The 26786-nt window shown below is 48.0% G+C and overlaps 1 pseudogene; it reads left to right on the top strand.

Moving 5' to 3' along the window:
• LOC647211 (rhophilin-2-like) overlaps positions 1-26786 on the top strand; it is a 51164-nt pseudogene that overhangs the window by 9788 nt on the left and 14590 nt on the right.

Consider the following 26786-nt stretch of genomic DNA (forward strand, 5'->3'; position numbering starts at 1 on the left):
GAGCCACTGTGCCTGGCTTATTTTACTTTCCATGATAATCCTCTTAGTTGGCTCATCTTGGACTACTTTTAGTTTAGAAAAGAAAACATCTTATGACATTTTGACTATTACTTTTTTTTTCTTTCTTTCTTTCTTTTTTTTTTTTTTTTTGAGCTGGAGTTTCGCTCTTGTTGCCCAGGCTGGAGGGCAGTGACGGCCATCTCAGCTCACTGCAACCTCCACCTCCCAGGTTCAAGTGATTCTCCTGCCTCAGCCTCCTGAGTAGGTGGGATTACAGGCACCCGCCATCATGCCTGGCTAATTTGTGTTTTTAGTAGAGATGGGGTTTCACTATGTTGGCCAGGCTGGTCTCGTACTCTATCCACCCGCCTCGGCCTCCCAAAGTGCTGGGATTACAGGTGTGAGCCACCGCTCCTGGCCAACTACTACTTTTAAAAGCAATTGGTTAATACTTTGGAAGCACTTGACCTTCATTCTCAGAGACGGTGAGTTGTTTGACATAAATAGAGGCCTTTTTGACTGCTGCCTTGCTTAAATCCTGTGAGTTTGGGGTTTATTTTGGGACTGGAGAAGGGAAGTTGGTATTCTGAGTGTTTCAGGACTCAAGTTTACCAGAAAGTTTATGTTCTGGGTAGAAAGCAATGAAAACAATCCAGGAATTGCAGCTTTATGCCACACTGCCACAGCCTGCCTGAACTTTTACGTGAGACTTATGCCCAGATGCAATGGTTCACACCTATAATCTTAGCACTTTGGGAGGCTGAGGCAAGAGGACAGCTTGAGGCCAGGAGTTGGAGACCAGCCTGGGCAACAGAATGAGGCCTTCTCTCTCTCTCTCTCTTTTTTTTTTTTTTTTGAGACACAGTCTCACTGTGTTGCCCAGGCTGGAGTGCAATGGTGCGATCTCAGCTCACTGTAACCTCCACCTTCTGGGTTCAAGCAATTCTCCTTCCTCAGCCTCCTGAGCAGCTGGGACTACAGGCATGCACCACCATGGCCAACTAATTTTTGCGTGTATATATGTATATTTTTTTGAGATGAAGCCTCATTCTGTCGCCCAGGCTGGAGTACAGTGGCGTGATCTCGGCTCACTGCAAACTCCACCTCCCAGGTTCAAGCAATTCTCTGCCTCAGCCTCCTGAGTAGCTGGGGTTTTTCAGGAACCCACCACCACGCCGGCTAATTTTTGTATTTTTAGTAGAGACAGAGTTTCACCATCCTGGCCAGGCTGGTCTTGAACTCCTGACCTCATGATCCACCTGCCTCGGCCTCTCAGAGTGCTGGGATTAGAGGTGTGAGCCACTGCGCCAGGCTAATTTTTGTATTTTTAGTAGAGACAGGGTTTCACCATCCTGGCCAGGCTGGTCTTGAACTCCTGACCTCAGGTGATCTGCCCACCTTGGCCTTCCAAAGTACTGGGATTACAGGCATCAGCCACCATGCACAGTCATCTCTTTCTCTCTCTCTCTTTTTTTTTTTTCTTTTTTAAGAGATGGGGTCTCCTCACTATGATGCCCAGGCTGGTCTTCAGCTCCTGGCCGCAAGCGATCTTCCTGCTTCCACCTCCAGCAAAAGTGCTGAGATTATAGATGTGAGCCACCACACCCAGCCCCATCTCTATTTTTATTTAAAATATATGTGTGTATATATAAATGCAAAAATAGATGTGACTTGCCACTGGTCTGTGGGACTCAAAACAATCCACCTGTTTGGAAATGTCTGTTGCTGCTATTGTAGAAGTTTCTTTACGATATAATTTGTTTGTTGCTTGGTGCTGGGCTACAAGAATGTAAGCATTTTTTTTTGAGATGGAGTTTCACTCTTGTTGCCCAGGCTGGAGTCCAATGGCATGATCTCAGCTCACTGCAACCTCTGCCTCCTGGGTTCAAGCGATTCTCCTGCTTCAGTTTCACAAGTAGCTGGGATTACAGGCATGTGCCACCATACCCAGCTAATTTTTATTAGCAAAGACAGGGTTTCACCATGTTGGCCAGGCTGGTCTTGAACTCCTGACCTCAGATGATCCGCCTGCCTCAACCTCCCAAAGTGCTGGGATTACAGGCATGAGCCACTGCGTCCGGCCAAGAATGCAAGCATTTCAAAGGAAGAGTCTCTTGGAGAAACTTAGGAATTTTATAGGCATTTTTAAGGATTCAACTGGGTCATGTTCTGAATTCCACATTAAAGCAAATGAAAATATTCACATGTTGTGGACATGGCCAACTGCCATTCGGCACAGGCTTCCAACCATGTCATTTTAGCCTAAAAGAGACTCTACAAATGTCAGTCATATGAAAATGAGAACGTTTGAGGGATTTTCTGTTGTATTTTTTCCCTTCTATATTTGAGAGAAACACAGGTACTGCAGAAGTGGTTCAGCAGACTGAATTAGAGCAATTCCATTTCAAATGTGACTTGTGTGTCCGTGTGATTTTTTTAATAATCAGTGAAGCTTCACAGTGTGATTTTGTTTTATTTTATGTATTTATTTATTTAGAGAGGGAGTCTCGCTCTGAAGCCCAGGCCGGAGTGCAGTGGCACAGTCTTGGCTCACTGCAACCTCTGTCTCCCAGGTTCAAGCGATTCTCCTGCTTCAGCCTCCTGAGTACCTGGGATTACAGGCATCCACCGCCACACCCAGCTAATTTTTATATTTTTAGTAGAGACAGGGTTTCACCATGTTGGCCAGGCTGTTCTCGAACTCCTGACCTCAAGTGATCCACCCGCCTCAGCTTCCCAAAGTGTTGGGATTACAGGCGTGAGCCACTGCAGCTGGCTGATTTTGTTTTATTTTGAGGAAATAGGGCCAGGGACAGTGGCTCACACCTTTAGTCCCAGCTACTTAGGAGGCTGAGGTGGCTTGCTTGAGCCCAAGAGGTCGAGGCTGCAGTCAGCTGTGATTGAGCCCCTGCAGTCCATCCTGGAAAACAGAATGATACCTTGTCTCATAAAAAAAAAAAAAAAAAATTCGAATCAATGAAAGAAAATGAAATCACATCTGTTCTTCGGTAAAGTTTAATAGTTTTCTGCTTAATTGTATTAATTTTATCCCTAGAAATGTATTTTTGTTGCTATTGTGAAAGGTATTGTTTCTCTGTTAGGTTTTGTTTGTTTGTTTGTTTGTTTTTGAGACAGAGTCTCACTGTGTCGCCCAGGCTGGAGTACAGTGGTGCAGTCTTGGCTCACTGCAACCTCTGCCCCCCAGGTCCAAGTGATTCTCCTGCCTCAGCCTCCTGGGTAGCTGGGATTAGAGGCACCTGCCACCATACCCACCTAATTTTTTGTATTTTTAGTAGAGACAGGGTTTCACCTTGCTGGCCAGGCTGGTCGCAAACTCTTGACCTCAAATGATCCGCCTACCTCAGCCTTGAAAACTGCCAGGATTACAGATGTGAGCCACCACACCTGGCTGTCTGTTAAGTTTTTCTAATTGGTTATTGCTTGTATAAGAAAGGAAAAATATTGACTTTTCTTTTTTACTATTGACTTTCATGTGTTAACTTCTTTGCCACTTTATTGAATTCTTATTAATTTAGTAATGTTTCAGTTGATGCTATTGGGTTTTATAAACATGCTGTTGTGTTGCAAAAAATTATTTTGTTTCTTTCCAAGATTTTATGTCTCTTATTTTTCTTAATGTGTGGGCTAGAGAATGTTTGGAATTAGGCTAAGTAATAACAGTGATGGTAGAAATTCTCATTTTGTCCCTAATGTTTACAGTGGGTTTCAGTTAGGATTTTTTTTTTTAGATGAAGTCTCGCTCTGTCATCCAAACTGGAGTGCAATGGCTCAATCTCAGCTCACTGCAACCTCCACATCCTGGGCTCAAGCTATTCTCCTGCCTCAGCCTCCTGAGTAGCTGGGATTACAGGCACCTGCCAGCATGCCTGGCTAATTTTTGGATTTTTAGTAGAGATGGGGTTTCACCAAGTTGGCCAGGCTGGTCTCGAACTCCTGGCCTCAAGTGATCCACCTGCCTCGGCCTCCCAAAGTGCTGAGATTACAGGGGTGAGCCACCGTGCCTGGCCAGTTAGATAATTTTTTTTATCCCACTAAGTACATTAATCTACCCTAGTTTACTAAGTTTCAAATTCAGGATCACATATATAATTTAATCAAAATCCTCTTTGACTTTTATGAGGTGAACATAAGATTGGAGTGCAGTGACGTGATCATGGCTCACTGCAGCCTCAACCTCCTGGGCTCAAGTGATCCTCCTCCTGCCTCAGCACGCCTGGCTAATTTTTTTATTATTTGTAGAGATGGGGTTTCACTATGTTGTCCATGCTGGTCTCAAACTCCTGGTCTCAAGTGATTCTCCCACCTTGGCCTCCCAAAGTGCTGGGATCACAGGCATGAGTCACTACACCTGACCCCTTTTAACCACCATGCCCAGCTATTTTATTTTTTTATTTTTTTAATTTTTAATGGAGACAGGGTTTCACCATGTTGGCCAGGCTGGTCTGGAACACCTGACCTCAAGTGATCTACCTACCTCAGCCTCCCAAAGCGCTGGGATTACAGGTGTGAGCCACCATACCCAGCCCATGGCCAAGTTTAAAGAAAAGAGGCATAGTCAGCTGAGCGCAGTGGCTCATACCTGTAATTCCAACACTTTGGGAAGCTGAGGTGGGAGGATCACCTGAGGCCAGGAGTCCAAGACCAGCCTAGGCAACATAGGAAGACTCTGTCTTTACGAAAAATAACAATATTAGCTGAGTGTGATGGTGCAGACCTATAGTCCCCTCTACTGGAGAAGCTGAAGTGGGAGGATGACTTGAGCTCAGGAGTTCAAGGCTGCAGTGAGCTATGATTGCACCATTGCACTCCACCCTGGACGACAGAGCGAGACCCTCATCTCTTAAAAAAAGAAAAAGAAGGCACAGCAAAGTTGTATATTTAGTACAAATCCATTTTTGTAAGACAAGTGTTTGTCTGTGTGTCTGTACGTTGAACACACAAAAACAGGAGGAGCTTTAATGTAGAAGTTGTGTAAAGAGGTTACACAGTCACTTGGGAAGACATAATTGAGCGATCTATGTGATCACCTTTCTTGCAGCTTGGGGGAGCCAGCACTTGTAGGGGCAGCGGTGGGGTGACGGGGCAAAACCCCATCTCTATTAAAAAATACAAAAATGAAATTAGCTTGTGGCACGTGCCTGTGGTCCCAGCTACTTGGGAGGCTGAAGTAGGAGGATTACTTGAGCCCAGAGAAGTCGAGGCTGCGGTGAGCCGCGATCGCACCACTGCACTCCAGCCTAGGCAACCACGTCAGACCCTGCCTCAAAGATAAAATAAAATAAAATGCCTTTATAACATGGTTAAGGGTCTTCTTGGCAAAGGAAACCTGTATCAGGGGACTGTTATGACAGTCCTACCCTCAGGGTCTGTGCTGGGAAACTTGTCCAGGTCCTGAGGGAGGCCCAGAATTGCAAGTCTGAGCCCCTGAATATCTGCAGTGTTTGCAGTATGGTTGAATGTATAGTCCATAGACTAGTCTCAAACTCCTGGGCTCAAGTGATTTACCTGCCCTGTCTTCACAAAGTGCTGGGATTACAGATGTGAGCCATGATGTGCAGACACAAAGACATTTTTAAGCAAAAAATTAACTTCAACTCTCACTTTTACTGAAGCAACACAGCATTTAAAAACATAGGCATGGGGTGCAGTGCTCACACCTGTAATCCCAGCACTTTGGGAGGCTGAGGCAGATGGATTGCTTGAGCCCAGGAGTTTGAGACCAGCCTGGGCAATGTGGTGAAACTCCATCTCCACTAAAAATACAAAAATTAGCTGGGCATGGTGGCACATGCCTGTAATCCCAGCTACTTGGGAGGCTGAGGCATGAGAATCACTTGAGCCTGGGAGGTGGAGGTTGCAGTGACCCGAGATTGCAACATTGCATTCTAGCCTGGGCAACAGGAGTGAAACCCTGTTTAAAAAAAAAAAAAAATCTATGGCCGGACACGGTGGCTGACATCTGTAATCCCAGCACTTTGGGAGGGTGAGGTGGGTGGATCACCTGAGGTCAGAAGTACAACAATTAGCCAGACGTTGTGGTGGGAGCCTGTAACCCCAGCTCCTTGAGAGGCTGAGGAAGGAGAATTGCGTGAACCTGGGAGGCAGAGGTTGCAGTGAGCCGAGATTGTGCCACTGCACTCCAGCCTGGGCTACAGAGCAAGACTCCATATAAAAAAAACTACATAAATTAAGAAAATAAATTCCCCCACTTTGAAAATCACTGTAAGTTTTTCTTTATTCTGCCTTTTTAGAAACAGGTTCACAATTGACATATTACTGTTATGCACATACATGGTTTTCAATCACATTTTATAGTATCTAACCTCACTTTTCTTTAAGGATTTTATCCTGGAACATTACAGTGAAGATGGCTATTTATATGAAGATGAAATCACAGATCTTATGGATCTGAGACAAGTAAGTTTTTGTGTGCAGCAGAGAGGGGAGGGTAGCTTTTCCAAGTTTTCAGGGAACCCCATTATTGCACGCTTGTGGTCTTAACAGAATCATGGGCAGATTGAGGTGATGGCTGGGGGGTGCTGGAATCATCCATTCCATTTGCTGCATAAGAAAACTGTAGAAGGAGGCCGGGTGCGGTGGTTCACGCCTATGTAATCCCAGCACTTTGGGAGGCGGAGGCGGGAGAATCACCTGAGATCAGGCGTTCCAGACCATCCTGGCCAACATGGTGAAACCCCGTCTCTACTAAAAATTCAAAAATTAGCTGGGCGTGGTGGTGCATGCTGGTAATTCCAGCACTTTGGGAGGCTGAAGCGGGTGGATCACCTGAGATCAGAAGTTTCAGACCAGACTGGCTAACACCGCAAAACCCCGTTTCTACTAAAAATACAAAAACAAGCCAGGCATGGTGCTACACGCCTGTAATCCCAGCTACTAGGGAGGCTGAGGCAGGAGAATCACTTGAACCTGGTAGGTGGAAGTTACAGTGAGCCAAGATCGCACCACTGCACTCCAGCTTGGGTGACAGAGTGAGACTCCGTCTAAAAAAAAAAAAAAAAAGGAAAACCATAGAAGGGGAGAGACCTGCCTCCTGGCAGGGCTGGGACTGGATTCCAGGATTTCTGACTTCCTCCCAGGTTCTTTCCACCCCTCCTAGAGTTGATGATGCCAGCAGTGAGGTCGTCATACTGCAGAAATAGTTACAGGCATCTGCTGGTATGTGCAGGGCACCTTCCGGGAAGGGCTGTCAGCTGTGTCCTCCTCTGCTCATGCCCTCTGGGGTTCTTTTCCTCGCAGGCTTGTCGGACGCCCAGCCGGGATGAGGCCAGGGTGGAACTGCTGATGACATACTTCATCCAGCTGGGCTTTGTTGAGAATCGATTATTCCCACCCACATGGCAGATGGGATTCCTGTTCACCTGGTAGGTGCTGGAGGTCTGCGCTGGCGCTTCACGTGTTATGGCAGCCACAGTTTTGGAGCCTCAGCATCACAGACGCCCCTCTGTGGGCACCTCAGCCCCTTTTCCTATCTTGCATTTTTCCGGGGTGCACCCCTGTGCACCTCAGCCCCCTTTCCTATCTTGCATTTATCCAGGGAAGTCTAGAAAGGTGTCAATACATTGGTATTTATTTATGAAGGTGATCCGAGGGAGATGGCCCCAACAGACTGTGGCCTCTTGCTTCTCAGAACAAGTGAGCCAAGGAGAGGAGACATTTTTCTTGCTTGTTGTATCACTGGGGAAGCACAGGGCTCTGAAGTGGAATTAGCCAGAAGCAAGATTCTTGTCTCAGATTGGACTGGGGCATGCGTGTGTATGTGTGAGTGAGTGAGAGAGAGAGAGAGAGAGAGAGAGAGAGAGAAAATCAGGTCTTGTCCAGTGAGACAAAAGCACCAAACAGAAATAGATCAGGTTTCTTTTGAAACGGGGTCTCACTGTGTTGCCCAGGCTAGTCTTGAATTCCTGGGCTCAGGTGATATTTCTGCCTCAGCCTCCTGAGTAGCTGGGACTATAGGCATGAGCTACACACTCAGCTTAGATCAGATTTAAAAAATGGAAGTAGAGGATTTGATTCTTCTCCACAATTGGTATTTTCAGACAAGATCAGGCATGTCAGGGTGGTATGGCCGTAGACCCAGTTGGTGTTTTCAAAGATTAGTATACTTTAAATACTTGGGGGGCTGGGTACAGTGGCTTTCATGCCTATATTGCCAACACTTTGGGAGGCTGAGGCAAGCAGATCACTTGAGCCCAGGAGTTTGAGACCAGCCTGGGCAACGTGGCAAAAACCCATATCTACAAACAATACAAAAATTTGCTGGGTACGATGGTATGCACCTGTAGTCCCAGGTACTCATGAGGCTGAGGCAGGAGAATCACTTGAGTCCGGGAGGCAGAGGTTGCAGTGAGCCGAGATCACACCACCGCACTGCAGCCTGGGTGATAGGAGTGAAATCCTGTTTCAAAAAAGAAAAAAAAAAGGCTGAGTGCGGTGGTTCACACCTGTAATCCCAGCACTTTGGGAGGCCGAGGCAGGTGGATCATGAGGTCAGGAGTTCGAGACCAGCCTGTCCAATATGGTGAAACCCTGCTTCTACTAAAAAATACAAAAATTAGCTGGACATGGTTGTACATGCCTGTAGTCCCAGCTACTTGGGAAGCTGAGGCAGGAGAATTGCTTGAACCTGGGAGGCAGAGGTTGCAGTGAGCCAAGATTGCACCACTGAGCTCCAGCCTGGGCGACAGAGTGAGAGTCTGTATCAAAAAACAAAAAACAAAAAACAAAAAACACCAAAAACCTAAAAAAAAAGTACTTTGGAGATGCTGCACCCCTTCTCTGAGTGTCGTTAGGAGTGTCAGTGAAAGGAGAATACATCCTAGAAGGTGGGGGCGTATCAGAATTGAATGTTTCTGTAGCCAATGGTTGGCTACTGATGCCTTCTTCATGGAAAGCAAAGGAAAGGGGGATGACTTTTCCTAACAATGCACCAGGCTGTCTGCATGGTGAAAGGTGGTTTCTCCTTAGTCATGAATTAGGGAGAAGCTGTCTGCACACCCCTTGGTTCATGAGTAAACTTTAAAACAAGTCCTAGGGCCAGGTGCGGTGGCTCACACCTGTAATCCTAGCACTTTGGGAGGCCGAGGTGGGTGGATCACCTGAGGTTGGGAGTTCGAGACCAGCCTGACCAACATGTCTCTACTAAAAATACAAAAATTAGCTGGGTGTGGTGGCGGGCACCTGTAATCCCAGCTACTCAGGAGGCTGAGGCAGGACCATTGCTTGAACCCCGGAAGCAGAAGCTGCAGTGAGCCGAGATGGCGCCACTGCACTCCAGCCTGGGTGAAAGAGCAAAACTTTGTCTCAAAAAATAAAAATAAATAAATAAATAAAACAAGTCCTAGGCTGGGTGTGGTGGTTCACATCTGGAATCCCAGCATGTTGGGAGGCCAAGGTGGGTGGATCACTTGAGCCCAGGAGTTTGAGACCAGTCTAGGCAACACAGTGAGACCCCATCTCTACAAAACAATTAGAGAAAATGTGCCAGGCATGGGGGGCACATGCCTGTAGTCCCATCTACTTGGGAGGCTCAGATGAGAGGATCACTTAAGCCCAGGAGGTTGAGGCTGCAGTGAGTCATGATCATGCCACTGCACTCCAGCCTAGGCAACAGAGTGAGACTTGGTCTGAAAAAATAAAAAAGTAAAACAAATCCTGAGGTTTTAGATTTCAGAAAGAATTATGAGGGGTTAGTAATTGCCATATTTCATTTAGGAGAAGCCATACACACACACACACACACACACACACACTTTTTTTTTTTTTGAGACGGAGTCTCACTCTGTCACCCAGGCTGGATTGTGGTGGTGTGATCTCAGCTCACTTCAACCTCTGCCTCCCAGTATCAAACCATCTTCCCACCTTAGCCTCCCAAGTAGCTGGGCTTAAAGGCACATGCCACCACCATGTATTTTTGATAGAGAGGGGTTTCACTATGTTGCCCAGGCTGGTCTCAAACTCCTGAGCTCAAGCCAGCCACCTGCCTTGGCCTCTAAAATGCTGGGATTACAGGTGTAAGCCACTGCACCCGGCCTTTTTTTTTTTTTTTTTTTTTTGAGACAGATTCTCGCTCTGTTGCCCAGGCTGGAGGGCAGTGGCGTGATCTCGGCTCACTGCAACCTCCGCCTCCTGGGTTCAAGTGATTCTTCTGCCTCAGCTTTCTGAGTAGCTGGGATTACAGGTGTGCCCCACCACGCCTGGCTAATTTTTGTATTTTTAGTAGAGATGGGGTTTCACCACGTTGGCCAGGCTGGTCTCAGTCCCTGGCCTTGTGATCTGCCTGCCTTGGGCTCCCAAAGTGCTGGGATTACAGGTGTAAGCCATCGCACCCAGCGCATTTTTTTTTTTTTAATAATTGAGGAATTTACCTGACACATCATTATCACCCAGAGTCCATAGTTCCCATTAGGGTTCATTCTTGCACTTGTGTATTCTGCGGCTTTTGACCAACATAGAGTGACAGTGATCCATCTTTGCAGTGTCGTACAGAAGAGTTTCCCTGCTGGAAAAATCCTCCGTGTGCTCTGCCTGTTCCTCCCTCCCTCCCCCTAAGTCCTGGCAACCCCTGATCTTTCTTCTGTCTCCAGGGTTTTTGGCTTTTCAGAATGTTGGACTCACACAGCGTGCTATACGGTAGGTAGCAATGTTCAGGTTGGCTCTTGGTAATGTTTCTTCTGCATCTTTTCAAGGCTTGCTTGAAAAGGCTCCATTTTTAGTACTGAGTAATAGTCCATTGTCTGGATGTCCCATGCTGTGTTTATAAAGTTACCCCATCAGATATTTTTGTGTGTGGCTGTGGTGGTCAGTGTGATTAGTCCTGTCATCTTGCTTGGAAACAAAAGCCTCAGTGCATGTGCATTCTTGAATTTTATTGAAGAAATGAGTTTGTTGTTGTTGTTATTGTTGCCCAGGCTGGAGCACAGTGGCACAATCTTGGCTCACTGTAACCTCCGCCTCTCGGGTTCCAGCAGTTCTCCCGCCTCAGCCTCCTGAGTAGCTGGGATTACAGGTGCCCGCTACCATGCCTGGCTAATTTTTGTATTTTTAGTGGAGACTGGGTTTCACCATGTTGGCCAGGCTGGTCTCGAACTCCTGACCTCAGGTGATCCACCCACCTTGGCCTCCCAAAGTGCTGGGATTACAGGTGTGAGCCACTGCACCCAGCCAACCCAGGAGTTTAACAGCAGTTTGGGTAACATAGTGAGACCCCATCTCTACAAAAATTAAAAAAAAAAAATTAGGCAGGTATGGTGGCATGCACCTGTAATCCCAGCTTTCTCATGAGGCTGAGGTGGGAGGATCAATTGAGCCCTAAAGTTGGAGGCTGCAGTAAGCTATGATCACACCACTGCACTCCAGCCTGGGCAACAGAGTGAGATCCTGACTCTTAAAAAAATAATAATAGAGCCAGGCACAGTGGCTCACGCCTGTAATCCCAGCACTTTGGGAGGCTGAGGTGGGCGGATCACGAGGTCAGGAGATCGAGACCATCCTGGCTAAAACGGTGAAACCCTGTCTCTACTAAAAATACAAAAAAATTAGCTGGGCGTGGTGGCGGGTGCCTGTAGTCCCAGCTACTTGGGAAGCTGAGGCAGGAGAATGGCATGAACCTGGGAGGCAGAGCTTGCAGTGAGCTGAGATCGCTCCACTGGACTCCAGCCTGGGTGACAGAGTGAGACTGTATCTCAAAAATAAATAAATAAAATAATAATAATAATAATAATAATAATAATTTTTCCACTTGCATCCAAAAGTAGCATTAACTAGCCAAGTAATCTGTATTCCCTAAATGCATTTCTTTCACATAGGTATGACTCCCTCACTGGGGTTCTGGTCAGCCAGCAGAACCTGCTGCTGGAGAAGGCCAGTGTCCTGTTCAACACTGGGGTCCTCTACACCCAGATTGGGACCCAGCGCTATCGGCACACGCAGGCTGGGCTGCAGAGTGCCATAGATGCCTTTCAGAGAGCTGCAGGTATGTCTCCTCCAGGGCTAACTGGACAGAGCCTTGGCCCCGCCTGGAGGCACCAGGTGACCCCCCCACTGAAGAGGGTCTACAGGTCGTCCCCTGCAAGGGCCAGAGCAATCTTCAGCTCTGGTGTAACTTCCCATTAAGAAACTTGCTCCAGCCGGGCGCAGTGGCTCATGCCTGTAATCCCAGCACTTTGGGAGGCCGAGGCAGGTGGATCACGAAGGTCAGGAGATCGAGACCATCCTGGCTAACATGGTGAAACCCCATCTCTACTAAAAATACATAAAATTAGCTGGGCCTGGTGGCAGGCACCTGTATTCCCAGCTACTTGGGAGGCTGAGGCAGGAGAATGGCATGAACCCGGGAGGCGGAGCTTGCAGTGAGCGGATATTGCGCCACTGCACTCCAGCCTGGGTGACAGAGTCAGACTCCGTCTCAAAAAAAAAAAAGAAACTTGCTCGGTGGTTCAGACCTCAGTCTGGGATGGCTTGATGTACATGGTGAATCCTGTGGCTGATGATTGATCTTTTCCAGACAAGTGGCCCTGGGATGGCAGTGCATAACTGTTTCTTTCAACACTGTCATGAAGAGCAGAATAACTTTTCCCAAATAGTGAAACCGTAGGCTTCTTTTTCTTGTATTAGGTGTACCCTATCTGTGCGTATTACTCTCCGTGCCTTTATTTATTTATTTATTTATTTATGAGATGGATTTTCGCCCTTGTCGCCCAGGCTGGAGTGCAGTGGCGCAATGTTGGCTCACTGCTTGAAACCTCCCGGTTTCAGGTGATTCTCCTGCCTCAGCCTCCTGAGTAGCTGGGATTACAGGCACCCGCCGCCACGCCCGGCTAATTTTTGTATTTTTAGTAGAGATGGGGTCTCACCATCCTGGCCAGGCTGGTCTCGAATTCCTGACCTCAGGTGTTCTGCCTGCCTCAGCCTCCCAAAATGCTGGGATTACAGGCACCCGCCACCACGCCCGGCTAATTTTTGTATTTTTAGTAGAGATGGGGTCTCACCATCCTGGCCAGGCTGGTCTCGAATTCCTGACCTCAGGTGTTCCGCCTGCCTCAGCCTCCCAAAATGCTGGGATTACAGGGTGAGCCACCACACCCTGCCCCTCCATGCCTTTATGTCACCTGCATTCTGCCAGCTTCTCCAGCATGAGGTGGGTGTTCTCAACCCTTTGTCAAGTGATGCATTCAAAGGATGTCTCATAGCTCAGTTCCCTTCTTCTGGGAACTGTCTTTTGTTGTTTTATTTTATTTTATTTATTTGTTTATTTTGAGATAGAGTCTTGCTCTTGTCACCCAGCCTGGAGTGCAGTGGCACAATCTCTGCTCACTACGACCTCTGCCTGCTGGGTTCAAGCAACTCTTCTGCCTCAGCCTCCCAAGTAGCTGGGATTACAGGCGCCTGCCACCATGCCCGGCTAATTTTTGTATTTTTAGTAGAGATGAGGTTTTGCCCTGTTGGCCAGGCTGGTCTCAAACTCCTGACCTCAGGTAATCCTAGTATGAGAACAAGGTGCGGGGTCGAGGAGAAAAGCAGCCTAGTGCTTACACCTGTAGAGGACCGGGGTCACCAGACCCAGTGCTGTGGGTGAGCCTGGCATGGCTCACCCTTGCCTGCGGGTTCTGCCTTGCTCCCCCATAGCAGGGCCTGTGTCTGGGTCAGACTCCGCATGGGGATGGATGCAAGAGCAGGGCACAGTGTAGACCACAGTGTGTTCTCCACACTAGCTCTATAGTGTGTTGCCTTCTAGGTTGATCATCGACATTCTGCTTTGGGGTGTGATCCCCTTCCACCCGTGTGGATCATTGTTTGATATCACTTTGCCCTGCAAGCTTGTGAAGAACCAGAGCTTTGCCACTTCAACTCATTGTGAAATTTGTGATGTTACAATGATTGGTCCTAACAGCCTGGGCCACACAGGAAGACCCTGTCTCTACAGAATATTTAAAATTAGCCAAGCGTGGTGGTGTACACCCATAGTTCCAGCTACTCCAGAGGCTAAGACGGGAGGATCAATTAAGCCCAGGAGTTTGAGGCTGCAGTGAGCTAGGATTGCCAAAAAGAATTTTTTTTAATTAAAGAAATAGGCCAGGCATGGTGGCTCATGCCTGTAATCCCAGCACTTTAGGAGGCTGAGGTGGGTGGATTGCTGGAGCTCAGGAATTTGAGATCAGCCTGGGCAACAAGGCAAAATTCCATCTCTACAAAAAGTACAAAAATTAGCTGGGCCTGGTGGTGCATGCCTGTAGTCTCAGCTACTTGGGAGGCTGAGATGGAAGGATCACCCAAGGTTGTGGTAAGCCAAGATCGTGCCATTGCACTCCAGCCTGGGCGACAGAGCAAGAACCTGTCTCAAAAAATAATTAATTAATTAAAAAAATGAAAGATTGTTCTCTTAGGATGAAGTGATATGCTAAGATTCCAAGTATGAGTTGATTTCTTTTGTTGTAAATCTTTTTTCTGGACTCATCTTTCTGGGGAATCTTAGGCAGGCACTCTGTGTCCTGTCTCTGAGATTATAGCAATGGAGACAAATTATAGATGAAATGAAGCAAGTGGGAGAACAGTGGGGAGTGTGAGGGAACCCCCACGGAGCTCACAGCTCAAAACAGCAGGTGCCATCCCTCCGCAGGGCGGGGATTTTTTTTTTTTTTTTTTTTTTTTGCTCAGCAACAAAACCAGAGGACCCAGTTGGCTGGGATTCATATGAGAGACTCTATTTCAGTTCCAGATTGATTGTCAGTTAGCGCTTTGGACAGTTAATTTTCTAAACTATAAAGAAGTCAGTGGAAGGCTGCAGCATGAAAATTTCCATTGGAGCAGACGGATTGAGTTTTTTTTTTTTTTTTTTTTTTTTGAGACGGAATCTCACTCTATCACCCAGGTTGGAGTGCAGTGGTGAGATCTCGGCTCATTGCAGCCTCCGCTTCCCGGGTTCAAGTGATTCTCCTACCTCAGCCTCCTGAGTAGCTGGGATTATAGGTGTGTACCATCATGCCTGGCTAATTTTTATAATTTTAGTAGAGGCAGGGTTTTGTCATGTTGGCCAGGCTGGTCTCGAACCTGACCTCAGGTGAACCACCCGCCTTGGCCTCCCAAAGTGCTGGGATTAGAGGCATGAGCCACCGTGCCTGGCCAGAACAGATCTTTCTTGAGGTCCAGGGGAAAAGCCCTGGACTGCTGAATGACTCAGATCTTATGTGTGAGCCTGGCCCCCTGTGAGCCCCTCAGTCCTTGTGCCTGCTCTCTGCTTGCATCTCCATACCTGTCATGATGGAATTTTGTCCCAGGTGACACAGGAGTTGTGGGGAGCAGGCTGGTTTCTCTACTCAATAGAGATGTAAGTGTTTTGGAAGATAATCCAATTTTTAAAAATTGGGTTAAAAGGCTAGGTGGGGTGGCTCACACCTGTTACCCCAGCACTTTGGGTGGCCGAGGCAGGCAGATCACCTGAGGTCAGGAGTTCAAGACCAGTCTGGCCAACATGGTGAAACCCCATCTGTGGTAAAAATACAAAAATTAGCTGGGTGTGGTGGTGAGCACCTGTAATCCCTGCTACTTGGGGGGCTGAGGCAGGGGGATCGCTTGAACCTGGGAGGCAGAGGTTTCAGTGAGCTGAAATCATGCCACTGCACTCCAGCCTGGGCATTTATTTATAAATAAATAAATAAATAGTGTTAAAATATACATATATAACCTAAAATGTACTATTTTAACCAGTTTTTTTATTACAGTAAAATAATACAACATAAAATTACCATTTTAATGATTATCTTAAATTTTTAAAATTTTAAAATTATCCTGCCAACCAGAAGCACATTTTAACCATTTTGAAGTGTGTAGTTCAATGGCATTAAGTGCATTTGTACATTCATAGTGTTGTGCAGCCATTACCACTAAACATCTCCAGAAGTTAAAAATATTTTTTGTTGGTTAGGCAAGGTGGCTCACACCTGTAATCTCAGCAGTTTGGGAGGCTGAGTCAGGAGGATCACTTGAATCCAAGAATTGGAGACCAGTCTGGGCAACATAGGCACACCCCATCTGTACAAAAAATTTTAAAATTAGCTGGGTGTGGGGTAGTGCATGTCTGTAGTCCCAGCTCTTCAGGAGACTGAGGTGGGAGGACTGCTTGAGCCCAGGAGTTTAAGGCTGCAGTGCGTCATGATCATGCCACTGCACTCCAGTCTGGGCAACAGAGTGTGATCTTGTCTCAAAAATAAATAAAATAAATACATTTTTAAAAAGTATATATTTTTTAAGAGACAGGGGTCTCAGTATGTTGCCCAGGCTGGTCTTGAACTCTTAATATCAAGCAACCCTCCCACCTCAGCCTCCCTCGTAGCTGGGATTACAGGCAGCAGCCCCTGTGCCCAGCTATCTCCAGAACTTTTTCATCTGGATGATGGATAAGCAAAGCTCTGTACTCAGTTAAGCAATAACTTCCCATTGCCCCCTTTCCCAGCCCCAGCTAACCTCTGTTCTCCTTTCTGTTTCTGTGAATTTGACTATTCTGGGTACCTTATCTAAATGGAATCCTACAATATTGGTCCTTTTGTGACTGGCTTGTTTCACTTAGCATAATGCCCTTATTTACACTGTACCATGTGTCAGAATTTCATTCCTTTTTAAGGCTGAAAAATACTCCATTGTATGGATAGGCCACATTGTGTTTAATCATTCATCTGCTCACGGATGTCTGGGTGGTTTCCACTTTTCAGCTCTTGTAAATAATGTTGCTATTAACACGGGTGTTCAAGTATCACTTAAGCCCCCACTTTCAATTGTTTGGGGATATATATCATAGGAGTGGAATTGCTGGACCATATAATTGAGAATCAAACTTTTTAATATGTTGTAGGACACCGGTTCTTTTTTTTTCCTCCTATCTTTCCTTTTTTTTTTTTTTTTTTTTTTGAGACGGAGTCTTGCTCTGTCACCCAGGCTGGAGTGCAGTGGTGAGATCTCAGCTCACTGCAACCTCTGCCTCCTGGGCTCAAGCAATCCTCCTGCCTCAGCCTCCAGAGGAGCTGAGACTATAGGTGCACGCCATCACACCCAGCTAATTTTTGTATTTTTTGTAGAGACAGGGTTTCACCATGTTGCCCACGCTGGTCTTAAATTCCTGACGCAAGTGATCTGCTCACTTTGACCTCCCAATGTGTTGGGATTATGGGCATGAGCCACCACACCTGGCCTCCTATCTTTCTCTACAGCAACGTGATGAAGTAAATATAAACCCGAACTAATGGGCAAAACATTTTCCACTTTTAGGGGTTTTAAACTACCTGAAAGAGACATTTACCCATAATCCAAGTTACGATATGATCCCTGCCATGCTCAGCGTGCTTGTCAAAATGATGCTTGCACAAACCCAAGAAAGCGTGTTTGAGAAAATCAGCCTTCCTGGGATCTGGAATGAATTCTTCATGCTGGTGAAGGTGGCTCAGGAGGCTGCCAAGGTAAGACTCCCTGGTTCCTGTGACTTTGGGGGGTGGGCAGGAAATGCTGGCACAGGAGCACTGGAAGTAATGGGGCCTTCCCACAGGAGCTTGCCTGTGACCTGGGCATTGTGCCAGCTCCGGCCAGTACTGCTGGCTTGAGTTTTCTTGGCAAGTGTTGGTGTTTCAGATACGGATCACTGATTCCATCTGCAGCTTAACCTAAAAACCAGCATAATGACAGCAGCCTGATCCCCCTGTTAACTGTGACAATGACAGAACGGGGGGTTGCTTGGAGTTGCTCCCAGATTCTGGAGCAGCCCCTGGCAGGGGCTGTTGCATGAGAAGAAGAAAGGGCTCTTTCTCTGCAAATGGGTTCATGAGGGCCCTTGTGCCGGGCTGCCCCTTCCCAATGCCCCTTCTATTTCAGGTGGGAGAGGTCTGCCGACAGCTGCACGCAGCCATGAGCCAGGTGCTGGTGAAAGAGAACATCCCCTACTCCTGGGCCAGCTTGGCCTGCGTGAAGGCCCACCACTATGCGGCCCTGGCCCACTACTTCACTGCCATCCTCCTCATCGACCACCAGGGTAAGGCCTGTGGGGTTCGGGGGTTTGGCCAGGGCTGTGGTCCAGCTGCCCCAGGGGCGATTCTGAGCTGAGTGAGAGCTAACTGCCTTCCCTGGAGATGCTCACAGGCTGAAGGCAGAGGATGAGAATGACCCATGACTGAGGCAGCTGCTGCACAGGCCATGGTGGGGTTAGGGGTTATAAGCTTCTTTAGAGGGAGGAAGAGGAGGCACCTTTAATTCTGCCTGTGTGCAAGAGGATGAATTTTCACCTGGAATCTAGAATCTAAGGGAATGCCAAAAATGCTGGCATCAAGATAAGTAACATTTTAAGGTAATATTTTAAAAGAATCAAAATTAATGCAGGCCGGGTACAGTGGCTCAAGCCTATAATCCCAGCACTTTGGAAGGCCAAAGCAGGCAGATCATTTGAGGTCAGGAGTTTGAGACCAGCCTGGCCAACATGGTGAAACCCTGTCTCTACTGAAAATACAAAAATTAGCCGGGCATGGCGCGTGCCTCTAATCCCAGCTACTCCGGTGACTGAGGCAGGAGAATGGCTTGGGCCGGGGAGGTGGAGGTTGCAGTGAGCCGAGATTGTGCCACCACACTCCAGCCTGGGCAGCAGAGCAAGACTCCATCTCAAAAAAACTAATAATAATAAAATAAAAATTAATGCAAAAAAAATCTGTGATGATCGGAATTTAATTTAATTTTATTTTATTTTATTTTATTTATTTTTAGAGATGGGGCTGGAGTGCAGTGGTATGATCATGGCTCACTGCCTTCTTGAACTCCTGGGCTCAAGCAATCCTCCCACTTCAGCCTCCTGAATACCTGGGACTACAGGCACATGCCACTACACCAGTTAATTGAAAAAAATTTTTTTCGTAGAGATGGAGTCTCACTATGTTGCCTAGGTTGGTTTCAAATTCCTGGCCTCAAGCAATTGTCCTGCCTTGGCCTCCCCAAAGTGTTGGGATTACAGGCATGAGCCATGGTGCCTGGCCAGGGATTTTTGATCTAATAAGTACTAATCCAGGCAGCCTCCCGAGGAATTAAAAAGACAGCCTCTGGAGCCAGACTTCCTGGGTTCATATCTCAGCTCTGCCATGAATGAGCTGTATTACCTTGGGCAAGTTACTTAGCTGTCCTCTGCCTCGATTTTCTCATCTGTAAAATGGGTATATGGAGAGAATCTACCTCACAGGCTGTCATGAAAATGAAGGGCCTGTATGCAAAGCTCAATAATGCTTTATATGCTGTAGGTTCTCTGAAAGTGTGAGCCACCACTCCTAGTACTATATAGTCTATTAGGCGAGACAAGATGTTGAAACAAATAGAAATACCATATAGTGCCTTGGTGATTGCTGCAGAGACACAAATGCAGCAGCAGGTGGACTCCATGGTGCAGTCATTGATGGCTTCTCAGAGGCGGTGACATTTGAGTTCAACTTTTCCATCTGCACAGGAGGGAAGGGTCAGCCTAGAGGGAGTAAAGTGTCTGAGCACAGGAACAGAGGCCGAGGGTGCTGGGGAAGTGGAGAGTGGTTTTGTGAGGTTTGAGAGCAGGATATGCACCAGGGAGGGTGTGGTTGAAGCAGGAAGGGGCTCTGCTGCAGGTGTGCAGGACTGCAGAGGGGTGCAGGCCAGGCATGACAGGGTCTGGGCTGTGCTAGGAGGTTCTGTGTGGTGGGTGAGTCAGAGGAGGTAGTGTGTGGGGGCTCAGGGTCAAATTATGAACCTCACCAGGTGTGGTGGTTCACGCCTACAATCCCAGCACTTTGGGAGGCCGAGATGGGTGGATCATGAGGTCAGGAGTTTGAGACCAGCCTGGCCAAGATGCTGAAACCCCGTCTCTACTAAAAATAGAAAAATTAGCTGGGCATGGTGGCACATGCCTGTAATCCCAGCTACTCGGGAGGCTGAGGCAGGAGAATCACTTGAACCCGGGAGGTGGAGGTTGCAGTGAGCCAAGATCACACCACTGCACCCAAGCCTGGGCGACAGAGCGAAACTCCATCTCAAAAAAAAAAAAAAAATTCTGAACCTCTGAACCTCTGGAGCATGACTGGTTCCAGTGAGCAAGAGCTTCGGGGTAGCCAGGCATGGTGGCTCACACATTTGATCCCAGCACTTTGGGAGGCTAAGGCAGGAGGATCGTTTGAACCCAGGGGTTTGAGACCAGCATGGGCAATGTAGCAAGAACTTATCTTTACAAAAAAATTTAAAAATTAGCCTGGCGTGTGGTGGTGCATGTCTGTAGTCCTAACTACTCAGGAGGCTGAGGTGGGAGGATCACTTGAGCCCAGGAGTTCAAGGCTGCAGTGAAATATGATTGTGCCATTGCACTCCAGCCTGGTGACAGAGTGAGACCGTCTCAAAGAAAAAAAAAGCTTGAGGGTCAGACTGCCTGGGGTGTGTCCAGGGGCAGAAAGGAGAGCCATGATCCCAAATGCCTTGTGAAACTGCAGAAGAAAGGAAACTAGAGACATGGTAGAAAGAGAAATCTCTATGTGGGTCTGTGGCCAGGTCCATGAGAGGGGATTTAACCTGTGGTTCTCTTTGCAGTGAAGCCAGGCACGGATCTGGACCACCAGGAGAAGTGCCTGTCCCAGCTCTACGACCACATGCCAGAGGGGCTGACACCCTTGGCCACACTGAAGAATGATCAGCAGCGCCAACAGCTGGGTGCATGTCCCTCTGCACCCAGATGTGGGTCCCACTTGGTGACCAGCTGGTCCTGCTCACAGACAGCCACAGAGAGGTCCCTGAAGAGGGCCCGGGAGAGGGGGGTGTTCCAAGTCATCGTGGCCACTTTGGGTTCGGAAGTCATGAGGCACAGTCCTGAGCCTCAGAGGGCTTCCCAGGCTGTGTTCTCATGGGTTCCATAGCACCCAGGCCTCCCCCTGTGGAGCCAGGACTTTAACCATCTCCCTTGGGGTCCACAGGGTGGCCTGTATCATGCTAACAGGGAAGGAGACGTTTGTTGATTTCCTTATGCATGGCTGAATTCCCAAGAACACCTAATGACTGGTAATGAAGTGTCCTGGTTTGGTCTCTGCCATGTCTCAGTGTGAATATCTCTTCCCATGTGCAGACCTCACCTCCACCACCCTAATCTGCCCCCACGCACACATACGCAGCTTCCCCGTCTCAGTGATGGCAACTCCCACCCCTCTAGGTGCTCAGGCCAGAAACCTTGGACTCACTCTCCAGTCTTCTTTTCTTTCCTCCTCTTTCCCCTCCCCTCCCCTCTGCTCCCCTCTCCTCTCTTCCCCTCTGCTCCCCTCCCCTCCTCTCCCCTCCCCTCTCCTCTCATCCTTCCTCCTCTCCCTTCACCCTTCCCCTCTCCCCTCTCCCCTCCCCTCTCCTCTCCTTTTCTTTTTCCTTGTTGCTTTCCTTTTCTTTCCCTTTCCTTTCCTCTCTCTCTTTTATTCTTTCTTTCTTTCCTTTCTCTCTTTCTCTCCTCCCCATCTACCCTTCCTCCCTCCTTTCCTCTTTCCTTTTCTTTCATTTGCTTTCTTTGACAGCATCTTGCTGTCCCCCAGGCTGCAGTGCAGTAGTGCAATCACAGCTCAGTGCAGCCTCAAACTCCTGGCTTCAAGTGATCCTCCTGCCTCAGCCTGCTGAGTAGCTGGGACTATAGACATGCACCACCATGCCCGGCTAATATTATAAAAAGGTTTTTTTAGAGATGTGGTCCCACTATGTTGCCCGGGCTGGTTTTGAACTCCGAGCTTCAAGTGATCCTCCTGCCTCAGCCTGCTGAGTAGCTGGGACTATAGACGTGCACCACCATGCCCGGCTAATATTATAAAAAGGTTTTTTTAGAGATGCGGTCTCACTATGTTGCCCGGGCTGGTTTTGAACTCCGAGCTTCAAGTGATCCTCCTGCCTCAGCCTGCTGAGTAGCTGGGACTATAGGCGTGCACCACCATGCCCGGCTAATATTGTAGAAAGGTTTTTGTAGAGATGCGGTCTCACTATGTTGCCCGGGCTGGTTTTGAACTACTGGCCTCCAGCGATCCTCCTTCCTCTGTCTCCCAAAGTGCTGGGATTACAGGCACGAGCCACCACACCTAACCTCTTGTCTTACTTTCTCACCCTACATTTGATTAGCAAATCCCTTTGGCTGTACCTAGAAGACACACTCAAATCTGGCCACTTTAACCCTGCTGCCCTGGTGGAAGCCACATGTGTACAGTGCTTATGTAAGAAACATTTACTCACTTAAACCCCACACAACACTATGAGGTGGGTCTCATGGCATCCCCATTTTACAGCTGAGGAAACTGAGACCCAGAGCGGTCACGTGGCTTGCCCTGCTCATAGCTGGTTTTCTTGCTGCCCCTTCAGAGTCTGCTCATGCAGGCCAGATCACATCAGTCCCCTGCTCACACCCCAGTGGGCTCCCATCTCACGCAGAACAGGAGTGAGAGCCCTCATCTCGCACGCATGAGATCCGCCATGATCTGGCCTTGTTCCTTCCCTGCACTCATTCTCTCCCACCTTCAGGCACACCTTAGCTCCTCCTTGCCCTTGAACACCTGTGCGTGCCCCTGCTCCAGGGCCCTCGCACCTGCTGCTCTTTCACATCCATCAGGGCTCTTCTCAAAAAGGACCATATCACAAAGCCTTCCTTGGCTGGGTGTGGTGGCTCATGCCTGCAATTCCAGCACTTTGGGAGGCTGAGGTGGGAGGATGGCTTGAAGTCAGGAGTTTGAGACCAGTCTGGGCAACATGGAGAAACCCCGTCTCTACCAAAAATACAAAAACTTAGCCAGATGTGGTGGTGTGTGCCTGTAGTCCCAGCTACTTGGGAGGCTGAGGTGGGAGAATCGCTTGAACCTGGGAGGCAGAGGTTGCAGTGGGCCGAGATCGTGCCACTGCATTCCAGCCTGGGTGACAGAGTGAGACTCCGTCTCAAGAAAAAAAAAAAAAGCCTTTCTTGGTCACCCATCATAGGACAACCCCATTCCCAGTCTTCTCTTACCATCTCTGCTTACCCTGCTTTATTTTTCTCTATAACCTCATCACCACCCCATCCATTACATATTTCTTGTCTTGTTAGTTATCTGTCTTCAACCACTACATGTAAACTCCATGAATGTGGGGGCAGTTTGTTTACTCGTTGCTTTATCTCTAGTGCCCAGCACATTTGGTAAATATTTGTTGAGTGAACATCTTATGGACACAAGTGAGCTTATTACATATGCATTTAAGGGAGGCTTGGGCTGGGCGCGGTGACTCACGCCTGTCATCCCAGCACTCTGGGAGGCTAAGGCAGGCAGATTGCTTGAGGCCAGGAGTTTGAGACCAGCCTGGGCAACATAGCAATGATAATGAAATGATAATGATAATGAAAACATTATCCAAGTGTGGTGGTGCATGCCTGTGGTCCCAGCTACTCAAGAGTCAGAAGCGGGAATTTCAGTTGAGCCCAGGAGTTTGAGGCTACGGTAAGCCATGATTGCACCACTGTACTCCAGCATGCGAAACAAAGTGAGACCCTGTCTCTAAATATAAAATATAAAATGAAATAAAATAATATTTTAATAAAAGGCTTGTTGTAACCAAGTGAATTGTAGAGAAACGCCACACTTTGAGACTAATTCAGGAGTCATTTATTAGCCGGTGACCGAGAGACGGATAATGCTCGAAATTGTCTCGGGCCTGAAGAAGGGGCTAGATTTTCTTTTATACTGTGGCCTAAATAGGGGAGGGGGGTTTAACTGAAGCAATTTTACAGAAGTAGAATAGGCAAAAAGTTAAAAAAGTAATTCGTTATAGAAGCAGTTACAAAAAATAAACAGTTCCAGGTGCAGGTGCTTAAACTATCACTAAGAGATAAATGCAGGGGCTTTAGGTACCTGCCACTGAGCACATCCCCAGGAGCTGCTGGTACAGCCTGCCTCAGTATCTTATCAGCAGTTTGCATTCCTGGGTGTGCTTGGAGTCAGCTTACACTAGTTATTCCCTTAAGGGGGATAAAGGGGGCTGCAAGTGAAGAAACTAAAATGTAGTCTGTCTGTCTCTCTCTGCTAGGAGAGAGTCACTCAGGTTAAAACAAGGTAGGGTATCACGGGCTCTAGCTATCCAGGCAGATCCTTTAGAAAAGAGAACGTCCAACCTCTTGGGCTGCCCTTTGGGCCCTTATGCTCTGTTTGGTGGATCTCCAAGTCACGTGGGTGCTGGCTTCCGTCTGCAGGGAAGTCCCACCTGTGCAGAGCCATGGCTCATCACGAGGAGTCAGTGCAGGAGGCCAGCCTCTGCAAGAAGCTGCAGAGCATTGAGGTGCTACAGAAGGTGCTGTGTGCAGCACAGGAACGCTCCCGGCTCATGTACGCCCAGCACCAGGAGGATGATGACCTGCTGAACCTGATCGACGCCCCCAGTGTTGTTGGTGAGTAACCTAGACTGTGTTCCCTCTGTGGGGGTGCCTGTGCCGCGGAAAGAGTACGCCTGGCCTGTGGGGGTTGAGCAAGCCCTTGCTGTGTGCTTGGCACAGGGAGGGCTGCACAGGGCAGGGACCGAGGTGCTTATTTTGCCCTGGAGTTCTCTTTTCTTTTTGAGATGGAGTCTCGTTCTGTTGCCCAGGCTGGAGTGCAGTGGCATGATCTCGGCTCACTGCAACCTCTGCTTCCCGGGTTCAAGTGATTCTTCTGCCTCATCCTCCCGAGGAGCTGGGATTACAAGCGCCCACCACCACACCCAGCTAATTTTTGGATTTTTAGTAGAGATGGGGTTTCACCATGTTGGCCAGGCTGGTCTCGAACTCCTGACCTCAAGTGATCCACCTGCCTTGGCCTCCCAAAGTGCTGGGATTACCAGAGTAAGCCACCACACCTGACCTAGATACACTTTTTATGCTGTTTGTAGAATCAGCCTGCCCTGGGATCCTTTGTTAGAAATTGACCAGCCTTATGTTAAGGGTAGTCCGAGCCTGCTGTGAAGATGCTGGTGGGGGTATGTAGCTGTCAATGGTTATGACTTGCCAAACCTCCTTTTCACTGGGAAATCCTCATACCACATTAATAATGAAAAGGTCAAGCACGGTGGCCCAAAACTCTAATCTCAGCACTTTGGGAGGCCGAGGCAGGAGGATTACTTGAGCTCAGGAGTTTGAGACCAGCCTGGGCAACATAGTGAGACCCCATCTCTACAAAAAATTTAAAAAAAATTCATCAGGTATGGTGGTGCATACCTATAGTTCCAGCTACTCGGGAGGCTGAGGCAGGAGAATCATTTGAGTCCAGGAGGTCAAGCTGCAAGAGAGCTGTGATCGCACCACTGCACTCCAGCTTGGGCGACAGAGCGACACCCTGTCTCAAAATAAAAATAATGTTGAAAACAGAAAGCTCAGTATCCCAGGACTGTGTCCAGTGAGGCATGGAACTTCCATAACAATAACGCTTGAAACATAGATGACTTCTCAATAGGTTTTTTGTTTGTTTGTTTGTTTGTATGTTTGTTTGTTTTTGAGAGGTCGTTTCACTCTTGTCACCCAGGCTGGAGTGCAGTGGTGTGATCTCAGCTCACTGCAAACTCTGCCTCCCTGGTTCAAGCCTCAGCCTCCCAAGTAGCTGGGACTACAGGCGCATGCCACTACGTCTGGCTAATTTTTTGTATTTTTAGTAGAGATGGGGTTTCATCATGTTGGCCAGGCTGGTCTTGAACTCTTGACCTCAGATGATCCTCCCACCGCGGCCTCCCAAAGTGCTGGGATTACAAGCATTAGCCACCATGCCCAGCCTCCTCATTAGGGTTTTATGAGTGCCAGAGAAGCCCACTAAGCCCCTTAAATATCAGGAAACCCCATGGGAATGTGTCTGGTTATCACTCCTTGGTCCCAGCTCAGGAATGAGTTATACCTCCTATGGCTCACATGAGGTACCCAAATGGAAGGTAGAGTTCAGCCTAGGTCGGGGTTTGAGCTGTGTTCCATCTTCTTGTACTACTTGTCTAAACCGAGGGGAAGGATGTGTGACTAAGAGAAAGTTCTGTACTGTCTCATTCCCAAGGATCACTTTCTTTTTTTTCCCCCCCCCTGGAGTCTTACTCTGTCACCGGGCTGGAGTGCAGTGGCAAGACTTCAACTCACTGCAACCTCTGCCTCCTGGGTTCAAGTGATTCTCCTGCCTCAGCCTCCCAAGTAACTCAGATTACAGTCGCCTACCACCATACCTGGCTAATTTTTGTATTTTTAATAGAGACGGGGTTTCACCATGCTGGCCAGACTGGTCTTGAACTTCTGGCCTCATTGATCCACCTGCCTCGGCCTCCCAAAGTGCTGGGATTACAGGCGAGAGCCACAACACCGGGCTATAAGGATCACTTTCAATTACAGAAACATTTATCCTCCCATTTCTAATCCTCTATTCTAGCTAAAACTGAGCAAGAGGCTGACATTATATTACCCCAGTTCTCCAAGCTGACAGTCACGGACTTCTTCTAGAAGCTGGTATGTTGAAAGCTCTCTACATAAATGACCGAAGGGGACAGCTCTTCACTTTGGCGAGTATGGTGTCTTAGTCCATGTGGGCTGCTATAACAAAATGCCTCAAACTGGGTGGCTTATGAACAGCAGAAATATATTTCTCAGTTTTGGAGGCTGGGAAGTCCAAGACCAAGGTATGGGCAGATTTGGTATCTGCTGAAGGCCCATGTTCTGGTTTATAGGTAGGGCCTTCTACCTGTGTCCTCATGGCAGAAAAGGTGATGAGCTCCCTTGGGCCTGTTTTAAAAGCATGTAT

Source organism: Homo sapiens (genome assembly GCF_000001405.40).
Source record: "Homo sapiens chromosome 16 unlocalized genomic scaffold, GRCh38.p14 Primary Assembly HSCHR16_RANDOM_CTG1".
Classification (NCBI taxonomy): domain Eukaryota; kingdom Metazoa; phylum Chordata; class Mammalia; order Primates; family Hominidae; genus Homo; species Homo sapiens.